This window comes from Homo sapiens, chromosome 12, assembly GCF_000001405.40.
Source record: "Homo sapiens chromosome 12, GRCh38.p14 Primary Assembly".
Classification (NCBI taxonomy): domain Eukaryota; kingdom Metazoa; phylum Chordata; class Mammalia; order Primates; family Hominidae; genus Homo; species Homo sapiens.
In genome coordinates this window covers 108,154,020-108,176,196 of record NC_000012.12, presented here as the reverse complement: position 1 = coordinate 108,176,196, position 22,177 = coordinate 108,154,020, and the positions used below count along the sequence as shown (strand labels likewise).

The 22,177-nt window shown below is 45.8% G+C and overlaps 1 protein-coding gene across 13 annotated transcripts in view; it reads right to left on the bottom strand.

The window, feature by feature from the left end:
• The window catches only part of WSCD2 (WSC domain containing 2), a 121,250-nt gene that overhangs the window by 74,341 nt on the left and 24,732 nt on the right, over positions 1–22,177 (bottom strand). For 3 of the 13 annotated variants that reach the window (XM_017020243.2, NM_001304447.2, XM_017020251.3), the window contains exon 2: positions 8,616–8,772. The exons of 5 other annotated variants lie outside the window; for them this stretch is intronic. The gene's annotated coding sequence lies outside the window, so the exon portion shown is untranslated. Of the gene's footprint in view, positions 1–4,362; positions 4,524–8,615; positions 8,773–22,177 lie in introns of all 13 variants that reach the window. 5 more of the 13 variants (XM_017020248.2, XM_017020252.2, XM_017020247.2 and 2 more) reach the window with 2 other exon arrangements.

Sequence of the window (22,177 nt, the reverse complement as noted above, 5' to 3'; positions counted from 1 at the left end):
GCATTTTACTGTAGGTAAACGATACTCAATACAAAACATTAAAGAAAATATAACAATAGGCCGGGCGTGGTGGCTCGCGCCTGTAATCCCAGCACTTTGGGAGGCTGAGGTGGGCGGATCATGAGGTCAGGAGATCGAGACCATCCTGGCTAACACGGTGAAACCCCAACTCTACCAAAAACACAAAAAATTAGCCGGGCATGGTGGCGGGTGCCTGTAGTCCCAGCTACTTGGGAGGCTGAGGCAGGAGAATGGCATGAACCCAGGAGGCGGAGCTTGCAGTGAGCCAAGATCGTGCCACTGCACTCCAGCCTGGGCGACAGAGCGAGACTCTGTCTCAAAAAAAAAGAAAAGAAAAGAAAAGAAAAATGCCATGTAACATTAACCCACTGTGCTTTTTTCCTCCTATGCTGGCTGCTTCCCTGAAGGAAGGGATGCTTCCAAGAGGATTAACGCCTGCTCACTTATTCTAGGCGCCTGAAAGGTTCACCTGGAGGCAGAGGATGGCTCACTGGGGCAGGGATGGCTCCCAGGAACACCTGGGTTCCCACACGCCCCTCATCCCATTGCCTGCTTTGCTCCCAGAGCAGTAACACTGGGGTTATTTTTGCTCTGAGAAGTACCAGCCACAGGGTTCTTTCTCTGCAGGCAGCCACCACCCCCTGCTGTGTTTACATAAAAACACATTTGCACAGGGTTTTGTTTTTACATTTGCCTCAGCGGCCTGGATCCTATTAAACCGAGGGGAGGCCTGATTATCTGGCTGGAAGCAGCTGATGAGAGAAGGCAGGTTGGAAGAGGGTGGTGCGGGCACATGCTTCCTCTCTTTTAGTCTGTGGAACCCTGGGGTCTCTGTGCAGAGGCCACAGAAGTGCTCATGGGGCTCACTTGTGCATGTCCCAGCATTTCCCAGCCTCTGCACTACTGACATTTTGGGCCAGGTGCTTCTTTGATGAGGGGAACTGTCCGGTGCTGTGCATTGCAGGATGTTTAGCATTCCTGCCCCCTGTGTGCTGGTAACACCCACCAGTCATGACAAGCAAACCTGTCTCTAGACATTGCCAAATGTCTCTTTGGGCAGGGAAGGAATTGTGCCCTGTGAAGAATCACGTGCTTATAAAAAGAAAGCTGATGCATGCTCGGCTCAGGGTCCCCCTCCCTTCCAAGACCACCATCAGCACTCTGAAGAGAGGGGCGAGTCTTGTCTTCCTCACCTCTGTGTCCCTGGCTCCCACCACAGTGACTGACACATTTCCATTTTAGAAGCTCAAGGAGGCGGAGCATGGTGCTTCACACCTATAATCCTAGCCTTTTGGGAGGCCGAAGCAGGAGGATCGCTTGAAGCCCAGAGTTCAAGGCCAAATCTGGGCAACAAAGCAAGACCCCATCTCTGCAAAAAAACTCACGTTTTAAAGTTAGCCAGGTGCAGTGGCATGCACCTGTAGTCCTAGCTACTCATGAGGCTGAGGCAGAAGGATCCTTTGAGCCCAGAAGTTTGAGGCTGCAGTGAGCTATGCTTGTGCCACTGCACTCGAGCCTGGGCAACAGAGAAAGACCCTATCTCTAAAGAATGAAAAATAATTTAAAAATTAGGAGCTCAAAGATATTTTGTGGGATGAGCAAACCCTGGCAATAGGCATGACCCAGTGTTCATTAGCTTTCTTGGTTTGGAGGACACTGTCCAGCAATGACATCAGACTCTGGCTACCATGTGGGGACTCATGTACTAAGTGCATATTCCCTCACCAAATCCCCATAGGAGCCCCCGAAATCAAAATCCATGATTGTCTCTAAGTTACAGGTGAGGAAACTGAGGCACTCAGTTGGCAGGTGGTAGAGCTGGGATTTAAGCCTGGAAATGTCTGACACCAGAGCCCAGTCTCTTAATTATAATACTCTATGTAAGGCAGCTTCAGCCTTGAATATTTTTTAAGGGCAAGATGCCTACATATGTGGGGAGGGAATGTGGGTGGAGAGTGGAGAAGCTGCCCAGATTACTACGGGAAGGAGTGTGGACTTTGATGCAAGATAGACTAACATCCAAATCCTGCTCAGCCACTTGTCAGCTCTGGGAACTTGGGCAAGTGACTGGGCCTCGGTTTTGTCATCTGTCAAGTGGGGACAGTGATCATAATTCAGCACAGGGATTCGTAAAGACCAAGTGAGATGACGCTGTAAAGTGCATAACGGGGCCTGGCAAACACCCCACATTCAAGGAGCATGGTTGGATGAATGCACAGCAGGCTTTGGGGAGAATGGCCCAAACTAAGGTGGAGATAGAGGTGAATTTATGCCAGATCACCCGGTAGGGCAAGGATATTCAAACCCCTGATAGTCCCTGACACACACACACACACACACACACACACACACACACACACACACAGAGAGCCAGGAATCAGCTCTGCCTCAATGGCTTCCTGCCTTCTGATTGGATCAAATAAAGGCCGACTGTGTGTGCAGACCAGTGACAGGACTCCTGGTTGTACAGGAAACACACTCAGGCCCCTTCACCATAGGAGTCAGAAGGATGCTGACCCCCTGGAAACAGCAGAGCCTCATTCAGCATCCCCTTACCCCAGCATCTACTGGGCAATCAGTCCACAGGTGACTTGGATCTGGCCTCCACCAAGGCTGCTCTTGTGGGAACTCCTGAGAAGCACCTGGTCAGGGAACCCCCGACCAAGGGATAGGATGAAGGCAGGGGAGGGTGGGGGGGCCTCCTGGCCATCAGCCATAGAAGCTTCTGATTCTCTGAGTTAATTCAAGAGCCTTCACGTCTCCTGCTGAGCAGCTGAAGAGCCCTCTGGAGCCTCTTTTCAACTGAAAACAGTAATTTGCAAGAGCTCACCATGCCTGGAGCAGAAGGCCTTTCTCACAGCCAAGAGCCAGCAGGGCCACTCTGAGGCTCCGCACCTGCTCAGGCTGGTGGCTGGTGGGAGGGTCTGGGATGAGGATGGGAGGGGGACATCTCGACAGCACCCCAGGATGAGCTGGGGCTTTGCTAGTGAAGCAGCAGCAAGGGTGCCATGTCTTGTGTCTTAGCCCTCTAGACTGGAGGGCTTAAACAACACACATTTATTTTTCAAAGTTCTGGAGTCTGGGAAGTCCAAGATCAAGGCGCCAGCAGATCCAGTGTCTGTGGAGGCCCCGATTCCTGGTCTTCTCACTGTGTCTTCCCATGGCAGAGAGGGGGAAGGGGCGGGGAGTGGGGGGAAACAAGCTATCTCCTGTCTCTTCTTGCAAGATCTCTAATCTCATTCATGACCTAATCACTTCCCATTTAAGATTAGGGCATTAGCTTGTGAATCTGGGGGGACACAAACTTTCACACCATAGCACCTGATGTGTTAGCTTCCTAAAGCTGCTGTAACAAATTACTGCAAACTGGGTGGCTTAAAACAACAAAAGTTTACTCTCTCACAGCTCTGTGGGCCAGAAGTCCAAAATCGAGGTGGTGGCAGAGTTGGTCCTCTGGGAAGGCTCTGAGGAAAAATCTGTTCTGTGCCCCTCTTCCAGCTTCTAGCAGTTGCTGGCGATCTTTTGCATTTGCCAACTTGTAGAGGTGTAACCCCAATTTTTTTCTCTGTCTTCACGTGGCATTCTCTCTGTGTGTCTGCATGTCTCTGTTTTCTTTAGTAAGGACACTAGTGACTGAATTTAGGGCCCACCTGAATCCAGTATGTCCTCAACTTAACTAGTTACAGCTGCAAAGACTCTATTTCCAAATAAGATCCAATTCTGAGGTTCCAGATGGACACGGAATTTTGGGGGGCACTCTTTAGCCCAGTATATCTGGCATTGAATGCCACCTGCCACTGTGTGACCACAGACAAGTGCCTTAACTTCTCTGATCCTGTTTCTTCATCTTTAAATAGGGCTAAAAGTAGGACTTTTGTGATAATTGGGTATGATGACAAAGTATAGCAAGTGATCACGAGCACAGACCCTGGCAGGACCTAGTCTGCCACCTACTTGCTGTGTGACCTTGAACAAGTTACCTAACCTCTCTGGTCATCCATTCCCCTGTCTGTAAGGAGTGAATATTGATCACGGTACTCCTTTCTCTCCCATAGTCCCAGCTTCTTAGAGGTCTCTGACAGCCCTCTAGGGTCCAAGGGACCCCTCAGGATTTCCAAAAACCCTAGAAATCATATATTAACTCTCAACAATGGTGCAGCTCTGTGCTTTTGGCTAGATTTGAATTGACTGAATGCAAAGCCTATTCTTTCTTAAGGCAAGTAGAATTCCTCATCAATAATATTTGTCAGTGTTTCTGATAGTATTTCTTTTTTGTTTAGGAATAAAAAGAATTCTTATTTAAAATCATACAGTTTGACAAAATTCTTCCCAAATATTTACCTTTATTTTACAAGCAGGTACACTGAAGCCCAGAGAAGGGAAGTCACTTGCCCAAGGTCACACAGCTGGTTAGAGGTGAAATGGGGATTTGATTTCAGTCTGTTTGACTCCGGGATGGAAACTCTTAATCCAGCTGTTTAATCACCTCAGTAGACTATAAACTGTAGAGCACAGAAATACAATATGAGCCACATATATAACTTAAAATCTTCTAGAAGTTATGTTAAAAAATGAAGAAGGAACAAGTGAAATTAATTTTGATAATATATTTAATCTATTAGATCTAAAATGTCATTTCAACATAAGTGTGAAGCATTATTGAGATATTTCACATTCTTTTTTTCATACAAAGACTTAAAAATCTGATGTGTATTTCACATGTCCAGCACACCTTACTGCAGTCTCGCCATATTTCAAATGTTCAATAGCCATACGTGGCCAGTGGCCACCATAATAAATGGTGTAATTGTAGCAATATGGGTGTCTGAGCCTCTCTCTTGACTTCTTCGTTCCTCCATCCATGACCCTGGAAAACTTACTGTCCTGTGCCCTGTTCCCCTACATGCTCCCAGTCTAATGAGCTTGTTAAAGCCAGTGACAAGATGGTGATCGTGGATTTTTATGCAGATGTTTGCATGTCAGAGAGGTCTTCCTAAGAGCTAGAAAACTAGGTTCTTTTGGCTCCAAGTCAAGAAGCACCACCAGCCTTCCTGGGCGGGAGGTAAGAGATTTGAGTGACTTGTGTCTCTGCCACCCAGACTAGTCCAGGTACCCAGCGATTCATTTCATGGGCACAAAAGAACCAGCCTCTCCTACCTTAGCAATACCTTACCCTGGCTGAGGGCTTTGTATGCTCTGAAGCCAGTCTGGTCTCATGTGGACCTTTGAGCCCAGCCTTAGCCCAGGGACCCCTGTGGATCAGAACTAGCCCTGCAGAGATGCCTAAAACAGCTTCTGCAAGCCCACAGGACTGAAATCTCATGACTAGCTTTGAGCCCCAGCTCAGCCACTCCTAGCTGGGAGAACTTGCCTACCATTCTGTAAAATCAGGGTCAGAAAAATACTTCCTCTTTCACAGAGTTGACAGGAGGATCAAGTGGGGCTACATAAGAATCACTTTTATCTCTTGAACGCTGGCATCATGTCAGACATTGACTAAGTGTGTTACCCAGAACTGCTATTTTTATTTCCATTTTATAGATAGGGTCACTGAGTCTCTGAGAGGTGAAATAACTTGCCCAGCCGCATACAACTAGCCGGTGGTGGATTCAATGACCATAGATCCTTTTTCATAAGGTGATTATGGGACTTAGATAAGTTAGTAAATTAAAGCACTTAGAAGAGTACTGGGCGATAGATTTTTGTTCTCATCATCATCATCATCATCATTGTTGTCAATATCATCATCCCTGCCATCATCAGCAGCATTAATATTTACATCATCACCATCATCATCATTGTTGTCTTGTCATTGTCTTTGTCATCACCATCATTGATGTCATCATTATCACTTATTTTCCCGTTTCTCTGTGTGTGTGTGTAGTGACTACACTGCATAGTGCTGGACCTGCATTAAGTGAGTTTCCTAACTTAGCTAAGCAATAAATTGTGCTAAAACTAACCCATAACAGAAAAAAAATAAAGGTAAGGCTGAAAGGTGGTTCTTGTTTGGAAGACACACATACAAGCTCACACACATACATCCAGGACATTTTCTTTGGCTACAGAACACTGCCAGCATACAGCTTTAAGAATGCCTTTGGGGAGAGAAAAGCAAGCTACCTGCCACAGGTTCTGCGGGGCTTATTCTCCCCTTCCCAGTACAAGAAGGCTTTGGGAGCACAGTCTCTGCCTTCAGCTTCTTGGCCACCCTGTGGGGAAGCTGCCAAGTAAAATAACCTCCCTTGGGTCTTTAATGTGCTGCTCGAATAGTGAGGACCTTGTTTGGGGTGTTATATCAACACTGCCAACAAAATTTACAGAGTCACTGCCAGTCAAGCTCTGGGCAAAACCAACAGTGTGCTCTTTGGCTACCTTTCCTCTCACCCAGGGAGGTAGCCTCTCTCTGACTTCTTCATTCCTCCAACCATGACCCTGGAAACTGTCCTGTGCCCTGTTCCCCTACATGCTGCCAGTCTAATGAGATCATTAAAGTCAGTGACAAGATGGTGATTGTGGACTTTTATGCAGATGTTTGCATGTCAGAGGGGTCTTCCTAAACTCCAGGCTCTGGGTGGGCGGGAAGCAGAGAGAGCCAAGAATGGGACTTCAAGAAGGGGAGTGACTTTGGCACCACTCAAATCAGTCACAGACGAAGCCTCCTACCAGCTCACACTGACCTTTCAAACTTGACGTTTCTGTCAAGGCCCATGGACAGCCTAATTTTGCAATTCTGTGCTCTCAGCAGAGCTAGGGGAATACCCTAGAACAGTGGTCCCCAACCTTTTTGGCACCAGGGACCGGTTTCACTGAAGACAATTTTTCCATGGACCAGGGGGTGGGGGGGATTGGTTTCTGGATGATTCATGTGTATTACATGTATTGTGCACTTTATTTCTATTATTATTACATTGTTACATATAATGAAATAATTATACAATTCACCACAATGTAGAATCAGTGGGATCCCTGAACTTGTTTTCCTGCAACTAGACGGCCCCATCTGGAGGTGATGGAAGACATTAGATTCCCATCTGGAGGTGATGGAAGGCATTAGATTCTCATAAGGCGTGTGCAACCTAGAGGTCTTGCATTCGCAGTTCACAGTGGGGTTTGTGCTCCTATGAGAATCTAATGCCACCACTGATCTGACAGGAGGCAGAGCTCAGGCAGTAATGTGAGCAATGAGGAGTGGCTGTAAATACTGATGATATTTTGTTCACTGGCCCACTGCTTACCTCCTGCTGTGTGGCCCAGTGGTTGAGGACCACTACCCTAGAACATGATGAACTAGGACATTGATTTAACAAATTTTATTGAGGACTTGCTATACACCAGGAACATTGCTAGATACTGAGGTGCAGGAGAGAATGGTATAAAAACACAGCTCCATGAATCTCATACAGTAAGGGAGAAGTTTTATGTCACAGGCTTGTTTTTCCACTTGGATTTCAGAACCATTCTTTCAAGCTAGCATTTGCTGAGCCCAGCCCTATGTTAAATGCTTACATAAATTATCCATTGTAATCACTGCAACAACCCCATGAGATAGGTACTAGTCACAGTATCCCCATTTGACAGACAAGGAAACTGAGACACAATGAGACTGATAAACTTGTCCAAAGTCATTCAGTAAGTAAGTGGAATAACTAGGATTTGAACTCAGAAGTCTAAGGCTGTATAGGCACATGGAGGAGCATCCCACCCAGTCTTGGGATGGGCAGTCAGTCTTGGGATAAGAGATGTGTAGGGGTGACCTAATGGAGGAGATGGGGGCAGAGTAAAGGGACATTTAAGGGAGACATGGAGATGGTGATCCAGGGAAGATATGTGACTTGCTCAAGGTTTCTAGCTGAAAAGTGGCAGAGCATGATCAGGATCCAGGACTTCTGCTCCAATCCCATGTTTCTGCTCCTTCTTCATACCCTTGACCTCACGAGCCCTACTGTCTAACCAGCTAAGCTAAACCAGGGCTCAGCAGGAGCCCAAAATAGCTACGGCTTCCAGGCAAAATTAGTGCCGAGTCAATGTTGCCCCCATTCATCACTCTGACTTCAACCTTGTTATTTTCAGGCAATGTGGCACAAGAATGAGTTGAGACAGAAAGAGAGAGAGAGGCTCCTTCAATCCTGCTCCATTGCTGAGTTTCTAATGGAAAATTTGTTATTTATTTGAAAAAAGCAATGGGACATCAGTTGATTGCAGCCCCAGGATCATTTTACCCCTCACCCTCTTCTAGCATTGATGCTCTCCAGAATCCACATTTCATCCAACAGTGGGGCTTGCATGGGGTTGACCCAACACTCACCTCCAAAAATAGGTCCTGCCTAGCCTAAGCCCATCAACATGGCCCATATCTCTCTCCTACCACAGCGATTGGTTCAGAAACAAGCAGGTATTCTAATCAGAAACAATAAGCCTTTGGCTGGGAGAGAAAGGTTCTAGATTCTTATGGATTTGGGCATCTGGGAGAAGTGAGCTTGGCCTCCTGGCAGTATCTTGCTACCATCAGGGCAGCTGAAGCCTAGGGGAAGGTAGAGATGCAGAGAAACTAAGATCTCATGAGCTTTGTTTGAGCCTGGATCAAGCCATACCTGAAGCAATCCCTTGCGAATTTTGATGTCTGGGAGCCAAAATAAATTATTCTCTTTTTAGAAAGTCCACTTGAGTTGTGTTTTGGTCTTACTCAAGTTGTAGCTGTTGCAGAATAACCACCTGGGTTTGGGCAGTGGAGAACACACAAGCGAACATCTGGAATAGAATGAAAATTGAGAGATTGGAGTGGGGTGGGGGAGGTTCTTTCTGAAACAAAGATTTAGAATGATCATGAGTCCAAGAGGCAGAGTAAGTTCTGCAGAACATTTAAATGCAGCCTATGACTTCCTCAAGTAAGAACAATTACAGCAATGATTTTTGTCTATTAAATACTTGGTTATTGTATTTTGTGCTTCATCTCATCTTATCATTCATATCACTCTATAAGGTTCGAATATTCCCACTTACGAGACGAGCAAACTGAAACCCAGAGAGGAGAAGTGGCATCCCCTAAAACATACAGCAAATAGTCCGGCCACTGTGGCTCATGCCTATAATCCCAGCACTTTGGGAGGCCGAGGTGGGTGGATCATTTGAGGTCAGGAGTTCGAGACAAGCCTAGCCAACATTGTGAAACCCTGCCTCTACTAAAAATACAAAAATTAGCTGGGTGTGGTGGTGGGCACCTGTAGTCCCAGCTACTCCGGAGGCTGAGGCAGGAGAATCACTTGGATCCGGGAGGCGGAGGTTGCAGTGAGCCAAGATCATGGAACTACACTTCAGCCTGGGCAACAGAGCGAGACTCTGTCAAAAAAAAAAAAAAGAAAAAAAGAGAGAAAGAAAGAAAGACAGAAAGAAAGAAAGAAAGAAAGAAAGAAAAGAAAGAAAGAAAGAAGGAAAGAAAGAAAGAAAGAGAAAGAAGGAGGGAAAGAAAGAAAGAAAAAATGCAGCAAATAGTGAAACTGGGGTGGCACACAGGTAGGTCTGACAGGGAATCTGCTGCCCCAACACATCATCACCTCCGTAAGAACAGATGCATGGGAGAGATCCTGCTTACTCTCCGGTGGATCAGATTTAGTATCTGTGCCTGCGAGCCAATGACAAAGTGTGTGAATTTCAGCAGGACCACTTTCTCCATTTAACCTTGGCAGAATCCCAAGGGCAATAAACATTCCCCCAAAATGGCAGAGAACTTTGCTGAAGCCAACAGAGGATTTTGCTTAGGAGCAGACACCCTAAGAATCTCAATGTAGAAATCTCTGGGATGTCCATTCCCACTGCTGGCATCAATCTTTAGACATAAGATTCATTAGATGACCCTATCACAAAAATACCAAGAGCAGAGTCATTTACTGAGTTCTTCATTCACACTCACAGGCCTCTGAGGCAGGTGCTATGATCATCCCACTGCACAAATGAGGGAGTTAAGGCTCAAAGAGATGAAGTCACTGATCCAATATTACAGAGCTAGCAGAGCATTTGGACAAAGATCTGACTCCCAACTAGGAGGCTTTTCAATACATCAGTGTTTCTCAAAGTGTAGGAGCCATCTCAGCATAAGGGAAGATTCCAGTGTTAAATACCATTCTATCATAAAGTGAGAAAAGTATTCACTTTTAATTTTCCTTCAATATCTCTGATGACATCAATAAAAAATCTCAGTTTGGTGCTAATAGAGCTTCAACACCTCTCAAATGCTTGCTAATCTGCCTTTATAACAGAGAGAGGCCTCAGGCACAGAATCCCAGGCAGGTAATGGTGCCGGGCTAGAACTGATCTACCTTGTCTTTGTTTGGAGTGTTTGTAGTGATTAACCTCTATTTAGGGAAAGTCATATTGATTTCATATTTGCAGGTAAGTTAACTTCCTAAATAAACAACTTTCAGTAAAAAAGTAAATCAATTCCAAGAAAAACAGCAAATGTGGGAAAAATTGCAAGGGTGGTGTGCTGATTATTTAAGTTTGGGATATGTCTCCACCTCACACTCAACTAAACTCCAAACCTCTGCCTCATCAACTCAGCAAATGGGAGGGTCCCATATAGAAAGAACATGTAACCTTGGTACCAGCCCAAACTGGGCCTGCTCTGTTGAAGACAAAATGCTGAGTAGACTGGGTTCAGTGGCTCATGCCTATAATCCTAGCTCTTTGGGAAGCCAAGATGAGAGGGTCACTTGAGCTAGAAGTTCAAGACCAGCCTGGGAAACATAGCAAGACCCTGTCTGTACCAAAAAAAACACCAACAACAAAAAATTAGAGTCCCCTTTGGGGTAACAGAGCCTGGGTATGCACAATAGAAAAATCTTTGACCTTTAACAACACCTGGAACCATGAATCCTCCCCTTGGAACCAAGAAGACTGGGACATGACCAGGACCTGAACTCTGGAGCTCTTTCAGAAGTGAGGGGTCTATTGGCCCGGAAGATCCAGGGTTAAAATCTGCCTCAACATACTTTACTGTAAATGGTCAAATTTGAAGCCCTTTAATCAGACCCTGCCAACCCACCACTCCTAAATCTTTTCCCTTGCCCTCTGATCCCTTAAAATTTGCTCCAGATCCCAAATTAGGGAGACAGATTTAAGCCTGACTTCTGTCTCCTTGCCAGCCAGGTTTACAATAAAGTCTTTCTTTTCTCAAAAACCAGTGCCATAGTCATTGGCTTTTATGTGCATCGGGCAGCAAGTCCATTTGCTGGTTAGCAAATGAGCCCACATGAAAAGGAGACTGGGTACCCCCTTTGTCCCCACCTTCTCCTACATCACATCTCTGAAACCCATCAGGTCAGATGAGGCTTTCCTGGACTGGGATGTGAGGAGTTATTGGGCCTCCTTGTCTCCTAAGCATTGTGACCCACACAATGTGGAGATGTGGGTAGATCTGTTGGAGAGAAAGCTGTTGCGGGCAAGGAAGGCATTCCTCAAGTTAGATTCAGGCTGGAGACTGGTGTTGTCCACTGAAGCGAAACATTCACATACCTAGGACCCTGCAATTCCACTCCTGGGTATACACCTACAAGAAATGAGTGCTTAAATCTCCCACAAGATTTGTACAAGAATGTCCCTAGCACCTCTGTTCATTAGGGTCCCAAACTGCAGAAAATCAGCCATGTGTCCTTCAAAAGGAGAAAGGATTAAAAATTGAATGAACAAGAAAGAAACCGCTGATATATGTGACATCGTGAATAAATCTCACGGATTTATAAAAATAACATCAAGCAAAGGAAGCCAGGCACAAAAGAAAAGACAGTACAAGATCCCATTCATATGAAGTTCAAGGACAGGCAAATTAATCTCTGGTGACAGGGGTATCAATTAGGAAGAAATGCAAAGAAACCTCTCTGGAGTGATAAGAATGGTCTGTATCTTGACCTTGGCAATGGTTCCATGGCTCTATAAGTTTGTAAAAATTTATTGATTTTGTACTTTACAGTATGTAAGGTATACCATTGTAGGACGTTTTCAAACATCCCCCTCTCTGAAAAAAAAAAAAAAAAAAAAAAAGGATTTAAGATTAAACAACAGTATAAATAAGTGAAGGGCTACAGGTCTAGTGGTAATGCCAACCACTCTGTCATGGGTCCTGGGCTGTAGAGAAGACAGTGACCCACTGGGATGTCAAAGGCAAGCCATCACTGATGCCACTATGTTTCACTCATTTATTCACTACCTTTCCAGGCATTCACTTATTCTTTTAGTATCTTTCCTTAATTTTTTTTATCCATGCTTAGTATATTAGTTTCCTGTGGCTGCAGTAACATATGACCACAAACTTACTAGCTTAAAAAAACATAAGTTCATTCTATTCAGTTCTGAAAATCAGAAGTGTAAAATCAAGATGTCTGCAGGGCTGGTTCCTGCTGGAGGCTTCAGGGAGAATCTGCTTCCTTGCTTTTTCAGCTTCTAGAAGCTGCCTGCATGCCTTGGCTCCTGGCCCCTCCCCTTCCTGCCTGCATTCCATCACTCCAACGTCTTCTATCATCGCATCTCCTGCTACTGACTCGGATCTTCCCTGCCTCCCTCTTATGAAGATCCTTGCGATGACAGTGGGACCACTTGGAGAATCCAGGATAATATCCCATCTCAAGATTCTTAACTCATTTACGTCTGCCAAGTACCTCTTACCATGCTTAAGGTACCATATTTGCAGGTTCCAGGGATTTGAACGTGGACAGGTTTGGTGGGGCAGAGGATGATTATTCAACCCACCACACTTAGAAAGAAGAATGGTATAGACTTTTTCTTTCTTTTTTAATTTTAATTTTTATTTTTTTTGAGACAAAGTCTTGCTCTGTCACCCAGGCTGGAGTGCAGTGGTGCAATCTCTGCTCACTGCAAGCTCCGCCTCCCAGGTTCATGCCATTCTCCAGCCTCAGCCTCCCAAGAAGCTGGGACTACAGGTGCCCGCCACCACGCCCAGCTAATTTTTTGTATTTTTAGTAGAGACGGGATTTCACCATGCTAGCCAGGAGGATGGTATAGACTTTTTACGAGCTCAGACTTGGAATCAGATCAGACCCATCTGGATTCAAATACTACTTATTAGTGGTATCACTTAGCTGATGACCTACCACTTATTAGCTTCATGTCCATAGGAATACGATTCAGCCTCTCTTGAAGCCCCAGTTTTCCTGCCTATACAATGAGGCATCACTCCACTTCCTCCAGGTTTTTGTGAGGAGTAAGTGAAGTGATGTTTAAGGCAGTTAACACAGAGGCTGGCACAAGATGCAGGCTCAACACACAGCCTGTGCATGTAGTGATATCTTATGAATGAATGATATTGATGGAAACAGCCATTTACCAAGTCCAGGGTACTTTGCTAACCAGGTCTGTCAGACTCCAGAATCCATCAGAAACTGTTCTGGAAGGGCCTCCAGGTCTGAGCAGAGGTCATTTGGAGAGAGAAAAGAGAAGGCCTTACTCCCAGCCCCTCCAGAAAATGGAGGAAATGCATTCTCCAGGATGCTCAGAAGAGGGTCTGAGCCCTGTTCCTCTCCCCAGGAGGGAATAAACATCCAAGCTTTTCTGGTGGCTGCCTGTCATTTATCAGAGATGGAATTTCCTTGGCACTTTGGGAAAAATAGATGCCAAGATGCAGAAAGAAATAGATTTTTTTCTTTCCCCCAGAAGTAGAACTTGGCTCATACATGTGTGGGGCACATTGATACAAATGGAATGAGAAAGCTCTGGGAGCCCTGGGGACTGAGGGTGTTGCTTGCATCTGAGTGTGAAATGGGTTGGGGGGCTGGGGATCCCCCAGCCCATTTTCCAAGGCATATGTGTTTGATTATTCCACCCGTGAGTCTGAAGGGGGCTTGGTGACTCCTCCCTATGAACAGGCAGGATTCCAAGAGCTTCCGGAGAGATGTGAGCCTGCAAGGAAGATGCTGAAGAAGCCCAAAGGAGGAAATGAGAACAACGTGGCCAACGTTGTCTTCAGGCTTGGAAGAGAATCTGAGGTCACAGTCCCTCTGCCGTCCTTCCTTTCCACCCTCACCAGTATTCTGTGGCCAAGGGCAGGCCTTAGCATGGACTGGCTACCATTTTACCCCATCTCTGCCACTTGGCTTCTGTGCAATGTTGGGCAAGCGACTTCTTCCCTCTGTGAGCCTCAGTGTCCCCATCTGTAAAGTGGGGAGGATGGTGATGCATGGGCCATGGTGAGGGCTTGAGATGACAGTGCACAGTGAAGCCACGGTAAAATCTGCATGTGAGGGGTCTCATTCGTTATTCTGATCAGGTGGAGCTTTTGTTTTACAGATAAGGGCACTGAGGGCCCAGAGTGGGAAAGCAACTCACCCACATCACATAGCCCAGCTGTGTTCTGGGTTCTGACCCATTCTGGACCCACCACAAGCTTCCCAGGTATCACAGGACTGAACATGCTGGTCATAGGAATAACAAAACAAGAACTATGCAGTGAGCACTCGCTTTGTGCCGGGCTCTGTGCTAAGCCGGGCTGCCAACAGAGTACCACAAACCAAGTGGCTTAAACAGCAGAAATTTATTCTCTCCTGGTTCTGGAGCCTGGCAGTCAGAGGTCAAGGTGTCAGCAGGATTGGTTCCCTCTGGGGGCTGTGAGAGAATCTGTTCCAGGCCTCTCTTGAAGCTTCTGGTGGTTTGCCAGCAATCTTTGGCATTTCTTGGCTCATAGAAATACGACCCTGATCTCTGCCTTCCTGTTCCCATGTCCTTTCTCCTGTGTTCAAGTCTGTGTCCAAATTTTCCCTTTTTCTAAGAACACCAGTCACATTGGATTAGGGGCCCACTCTACTCCACTATGACTTCATCCTAATTTAACTAATTCCATCTGCAATTACCCTATATCCAAATCAAGTCACATTCTGAAGGCCTGGAGGTTAGAACTTAAACATTTGAATTTGGAGGGAGGAACACAATTCAACCCTTTACAGCCCCTATATGCATTATGATATTTTCTTATAACAGCTCTGCAAGGTAAATTGGAATCAATATTTCTATTTTACAGATGAAGAAAGTGAGGTTCAGAGAGCTGAAAATCTCCCGTAAAGTCACATACACCATGTGTGTGGTGGCAGCACCAAGATTTAAACATCAGGTTGCACCATTCCAAATTTCATTCTCTCTACCACACACCTGCCTGCTTCCATACACTTGCTTTCATCTATCATCCCAATAATCCAGTTAGGTGGCTTCTGTTATTATTACCACTTTATAAGTGAGGAAACTGAAGCTCAGGAAGGTGGTGGGACAAGGCCAGGGGTTGCAAAGCTCGTCAATGTCAGAGCTGGGATTTGAATGCAGGCACCTGCCTCCTGAGTTTGTGCTCTTGACAATTTCACCCCTCTCCTATTGAGAAATCCTGAGTGTGCTGCACAACACAGTATAGCATAATATAATACAGTATATTGTGCTGTATTATCTATCACATCATATATCATATCTGACATGGTTTGGATTTGTGTCCCCATCCAAATATCATGGTCAATTGTAATCCCCAGTGTTGCAGGTGGGGCCTGGTGAGAGGTGATTGGATCATGGGGGCAGATTTCTCTCTTGGTGCTGTTCTTGTGATAGTGAGTGAGTTCTCATAAGATCTGGTTGCTGTTTAAGTGTGTGGCACCTCCCCTGCCAGCCTCTCTTTCTCCTGCTTTGGCCATGTAAGATGATCCTACTTCCCCTTTGCCTTCTGCTATGACTGTAAGTTTCCTGAGGCCTCCCCAGAAGCCAAGAAAATGCCAGTGTCATGATTCCTCTACAGCCTGCTTAACTATGAGCCAATTTTCCTTATAAATTACCCAGTCTCAGGTATTTCTTTATAGCAATGCAAGAACAGACCAATACAATATACTATCTTGTCATATCCTATCCTATAGCTACAGAGTAACTAAGGTGGGATTTAAAGTAAGCTCTGTCCACCCTCAGACTGCAGGCTCTGAAGTGAGTCCTTAGAATCAGCCCATCCCACCAACCATCTTCCTGCAGAACTCACAGCAACAGTTCATTTTCACGTTGGGTCTTGAAAGAAGCTCACCTTCAGCAGCCATCCTTGGCAGCCTCTAAAGGCCAAGCAGCCACACCCCTCATCCAGCCGAGATCCTAAATTAACTATGAAGCTGTAACGAATGTAACATGGCTCTCGTGCTATCATACCGTGTCTAATATCTCCACGAAGGCCCCTCGCAGAGCCCTGGTTGGGCAAATTCCCTTTGTCTCAGCACAGGGGGAAACCTCAGGAGCCCTCACAGCCAGAAATACCCTCAACAGTACTGAATCCTTGGATTCTGTTGTCTGCCAGGGGCAGATTGTATAGGAGAAAAGCCAACGCTGAGAAAAACAAATGATGGCAAGGACCGTCCTCCCACGCCTGCATTCCCCAGCAAGAGATGCTGCAGGGGCTGCTGGGGGCTTTCTGGGGCAAGGAGACAGATTCCTCCCCTGGGCAGAACCAACTCACAGTCCAAGAGCAAGAATAAGAATCCCTCACGCTCAGATGATCCCAAGCAGTTGGAGTGGGGATTTCAGAACATCACTAGCTCATTTGTTTCAGCAAGATGGCCATTCATCATTCTATGAGAGTTCATTGAGCATCTATGATGTGCCAGACTCTGTGTGCTGGGGATGCAGAGATGAGCAAGACAAGAGTCTTACCCTCCACGGGGATCACAAATGAGTGGCCAGAGGCATAACACTGTAGTACTGTGGAGCCCCAGCTTAGCCACTTTCGTCTCTGCCTTGGTTCTCTCATCTGTAGAATGGGTATACTGTGAGTAGTTTCTGTCTCACAGAGCTGTTGTGAGGACTAAATGTGTCACTATAACAAAAGAGGCTTAGGACTGAGTATGGTGTACAGAAAGCACAACAGGCACATTGGCTATCAGCACCAGCATCATCACCAGAGCTGTGATGGGGAAGCAGCAAGGACTAAGGAGAGTCAGCTGGAGAAGGAGGTCTCAAGAGTGACACCTGAGAAGATGATGTCCTATTAAGAAAAGGAAACCAGATGGAGGAACAACCAGGGCAACCTCCAGAGGTGGGACAGGGCTAGATCCCTTTCAGAGACACAGAAGAGGCTAAGATGGCTGGAGCACAGGGAGCTTTGATTTTATTCTAGGGGCCACAGAAGGTCTTTAACCATCAGATGTGTGTTTCCAGGAAGAACTCTGGCTGTAGTGTGCAAGATGTTACAGAATCCAGGCAAAAGACAGATGGCTTGGATCAGAATACCCAGAGGAGAAGGTACAAGCATCAAAGACACAAGGAGGGTAATGTTGGTTCCATGAGGGTGGGGTGGGATCTGCTTTGTTCACCATTGTATTGTCAGTGCCTGGCACATAGGAGGTGCTCAGGTAATACTTGTGGCTTGAGTAGACACGGAGAGTGAGGGAGAGGGAGGACTTGAGTATGATGACTTGGGCAGTCGGTAGGATGTTGGTACTGTCAGGGAGGGATGTAGGGCTGGGACAGGAGACCTGGAAGTCCCCTGGGATATAACATCCCTGTTTATTCTGCTGTGAGAGAAGCATCATTGCCACCTCTATCTTCCAGAGGTGAAAATGGAGACTCAGAGAGACAAAGCAACTTACCTGAGATCACACAGCACCTAAGGGGCAAGTTTTGGGCCTTGCATCTAGGGCTGTTTTGGCCACTCCCCACCCGGCCCAGTAGCCCTGTGTGTAAAGACCCCCACCCCGCCCGCCCCAGGGACTTGTCATAGGAGAAAGGATGGGAACATGCGCAGCCTAACGCCAGGTTGTATTTCACTGCTTAGAGCCTCAGGCTCTTCTCCAAAATGAAACCTTGTAGCCAAGTTAAAGGGTGGCCTTCATTGCTGGCTGTGTCTCAGTAGTGTGCTCTGAACTTGAACCTCTCCTACTCTCTCCGTTTGTGGCTGCTATCACCCACGCCTCTCCAGGGGCAATTTAATCTCTGGGTGTCCAGTTCTCTGACATGCTCCAGAAACGAGGTCAGTAGGGTGAATTGCAGCATTAGCATAAATTATTGACCCAGAGGTGTATGGCCACTGAAGGACTTTATGTGTAGCCCACAACCGGGCTCACAGCCTCAGACATCCCGTAAGTACAGGCTGTGCAGAGCATGCAGAAGGAATCTGCCGAGTGTAGGATGTTGGCTGACATGGTACCAGCCTCAGACAGCCTGTAGTGGCTGGGTGTTTGTGTGGCCTCAGAGGAGCCTCCTACAAGTTACTAGATAATTGCTAGAGGAATTCATTTGTATTTGATTTCCCTAAATTTTTCTCTCTTTCTCATTTCAAGCAGGTGGCCAATTTTGTTGTGACCCTCAGCCCCAAGAATATATTTGCAGGGCAGGAGATAGTGTTTGCAGGAGGCCAGGCTAGATTCACAAACCCAAATATCTACCAGGGCCAAGGAAGGGAGAGGAGGCTGCTTGCAAGATGACGAGGAAGAACAACTGCAGGAGCTCACCCCACTCTGGGTAGGGAACTTGGGGGAGACAGCAGCTGCACTCAGCTCCAGCCTGTGGTTGCTTGGAATATCCTACATTTTTAAGAGACTTTGGACATCTGGGTTTTCATATAAAATATTCCACTTTTTAAATCTTGGAAGCTAAAGTAATTAATTTAAAAAGATACAAAAAAGGGAAAACTGTGGAAAGGGTAAAAAGATCAGTCATTGCTAGCAGCTCCAGGGGTAGGAGGGAAATAGGTGGGGCCCAGAGGAGTTAGGGGCCATGAAACTCTTCTGTAGGACACTGTAATGGTGGACACATGTCATTATACACTTGTCAAAACCCAAAGACTGTGCAACACAGAGTGAACTCCAATGTATGCCATGAACTTCAGGTAATAATAATGTATCAATATTGGTTCATCGGTTGTGCCAAATGACCCTCACTAAGACCAGATGGTCATATAATGGTGGAGTGAAGGACAGAGCGGAAAGAGTATATGGAGGAACTCTCTGTACTTTGCTACTCAATTTTTCTGTAAACTGAACACTGCCCTCCAAAATAAAGTCTATTAAGACAAACTAAAAGCAAACAAACAAACAACGAAGAAACCACAGAGAAATATCTGGGGCCCTCATTCAAGTTTACAACTGCCTGTTTGCAAATTCTGTTGAAAGCTCATTGGTGAGCTTATGGGGTGGGGTCCTGGGGAGGAAAGTGGAAGTGAGAAGTCGATTTCTCTGGGACAGGGAACAAGCCAGAGGTTCCAAACAAGTCCTGGCAGTGCCTGAGGAAAGCGTCTAGACACGTAGTGCCAGAAATACCAATGTGGGCAGAGGTTCGCCTGTTGCTCCAAGCTTGGCTCAGAATAGCAGAGTTTCTAGACTTAGAGGAAACATGCTGGATGGCTAGTTGGGGTTTGGTGGTGACCAGGGAGAAATTCATCCATCTGGGAGCGAGGAGCCTCAGTAATGACTGAAATCAGAGTTTTTCTACAACTCAGTAGAGACTCCAAGTCGAATTTGACTTCATTTAAAAAGATTTAAGAAAGTTGATATTTCTGGTACACCTGTATTTGTGGGCTTAAATAGATTTCTTGATACCCACAACCCACACCTGTCCACCTTAGCAGAAATCAGCAATCTGCCAGATCAGATTTTTTAATGTGCTGGCTCCTTAAATATATAGACAACGTAGGATTTCAACCCATTCTTAGAAAGGCTCTGCTCAACAACCCAAGGTCATCCCTCTACTACTGGGTCCTGCTTATGGGGAAATGAAGACCTATGAAGACCCTACTATGCACCAGCCAGTACATGGATATTCTTTTAGAAAGTTATAACTGCTACTATTGATTGAGTGCTTACTATGTGCTGAGCTAACCTGACTTGTTAACCTGTGAGTTAACCCATTGTACAGAGGAGGAAACAGCTCAGAGGTACTAAATGGTGGGCTGAGGTTGCCTGATGCTAAGTGGTGGGGCCAGGACACGGACCTGAGCCTGCCTGGTTTCAGAGCACGTGTTCCTCCCCTTTCTCTTCGTGAAGAACCAAATCTACTGCCTTCATCTTCTCACCATCTGACAGTCTATTCACACAACGCAAAGCCAAATAAAAATTATATTTTTTGCTCACGTGAGATTTTTAGAGTTTTGGCAAGCATTTAGGAAGCATCTGAAAAACACTTTCAAAATATTACATTTGAACAATATTTGAACTTCAGCAGATGGCTCGTTGGTATGTGTGTGGGGGGCACAGCCTGGGTGGTGTCGATGTATATTTGAAAGAACTCAACATGCCACTTCCTATGTGGGGTCTCCAACAGTTCCCTGAATCTTTTGAATAGCCTGGGAGAGGCTGGGAGTCTTTTCAGATCATCTTCATCTTCCCAGACAATATGGGAGGCAGAATGATAACAATAGTATTTGTCATTCTTAATATTTATGGAGCTATGTGCCAGGCACTGGGCTGTGCTCTTTGCATAGATTATCTCATTTAAATCTCACCACAAACTTACAGAGGAGGTACTATTCTTATCTCCATCATCTAGATAAGAACAATGAGGCTCAGAGAAGTGATGTAAACTGCCCAAGGTCACAAAACTCACAAGTGGTAGAGCTGGGATTTGAACCTAGGTCTCTGACTCACAGAGATCACATACCCACCACTAAGTCTCCTGGGGTCTTCCAGTCATAAGCAAGGCCTTTCAGTCAGTGTTGACCTCTTGGGACTATCACAAGAATCATACTGCCATTTCTTCTGTCAGTCAATCAGTCATTCAACAACCAGAAAATATAACGTGTCCTTATTCTAGGCTTAATAAGACACACATGGCTGAATAAAATTTTGTCTCCCTGCTGAGAGCCCTGATTGGTGTATGCATATGGTACTAGCTGTGCATCAGGAAGAACAGTAATTCTGGTCCTAGGGTACGGGGGCCACAATCATGCCCCTAACACTACCCCCATATACCAACTCTCTTCCATCCATATCAAAACTTACCTGTCCTGTGCCCCATTCTCCCACTTCCAACATACTAATATGCTAATAGCAAAACCTTATCATATCTAAGCTGGAGTTAACCTTAGGAATTGTCCCCATTATATAGATCAGGAAACTGAGGCCCCACAAAAGAATGTGACTTGGCTGAGGTCACAGCAGATCCAGAACCAAAACCCAGGTCTCTTCACTCCTCTTTCAGAATCCTTTCCACAACATTACCCCGTAGCTGCAGGCTGGGATCTGGGGCATATTCGCCATGTCTCACGTGGTACTTCTAGGTAGTACACAGATAAACTCTTCTTAAAATGTCAATAGTTATGTAATTATTTTAATGGGAATAGTTACAAAAATCATAAGTGCCCATCACACCTTGATTGCATATGTATTATTGCTTAGAATGAAGCAATAATAAATAATGAGTTCATTTGGATTCATGAAAAATATGCAGCTCTGGGAAAATTATTGAAGATAGGTTAATAAATGCTGGAGTTTGTGGACATTATTAATCCGAAAAAGAAATGTTAATGGAGGTGATTCTGGACTCTTGTGCACGACAGTGGGAAGATGCCTTTCCTCTGAGAAGCCTCCTGGAACCCTTTTGTGGTGAGTAGAATGCTACCCCAAAGATATCCGTGTCCTAATCCCCATAACCTGTGAATATGTGACCTGTCATGCAAGCAAAAGGGACTTTGCAGATGTGATTAAGCTAGGAATCTTAAGAAGGGGAGATTATCCTGGATTATCTCATGGATACAATATCATCACAAGCATCCTTATGAGGGCAGCAGGAGGGTCAGAGTCGGAGAAGGAGAGAAGACAACAGAAACAGAGCCCAGAGGCATACAATTGCTGGTTTTGAGGATGAAAAGGGGTCATGACCCAAGGGATGTGGGTAACATCTAGAAGCTGGGAAAGGCAAGGAGCCAATTTTCCTCTGGAGCCTCCAGAAGGAACTCAGTCATGCCAACCTGGTGAGACCCATGTTGTACTTCTGACCTTCAGAACTGTAGTAGAATAAATGCGTGCTGTTTTAAGCTATCAGGTTTGTGGTGATTTGTTACAGCAGCTATTGGAAACTAATACACCCTTCGCAACTCCAGGACACCATCTACCCACTCTGAGGACACTCAGGGGGCCCTGACCTTCCCTCCTGGTGCCTCTGCTTTCTCTAAATCAGTAACAACAGAAATACCTTCAACTTAATGCTTTAC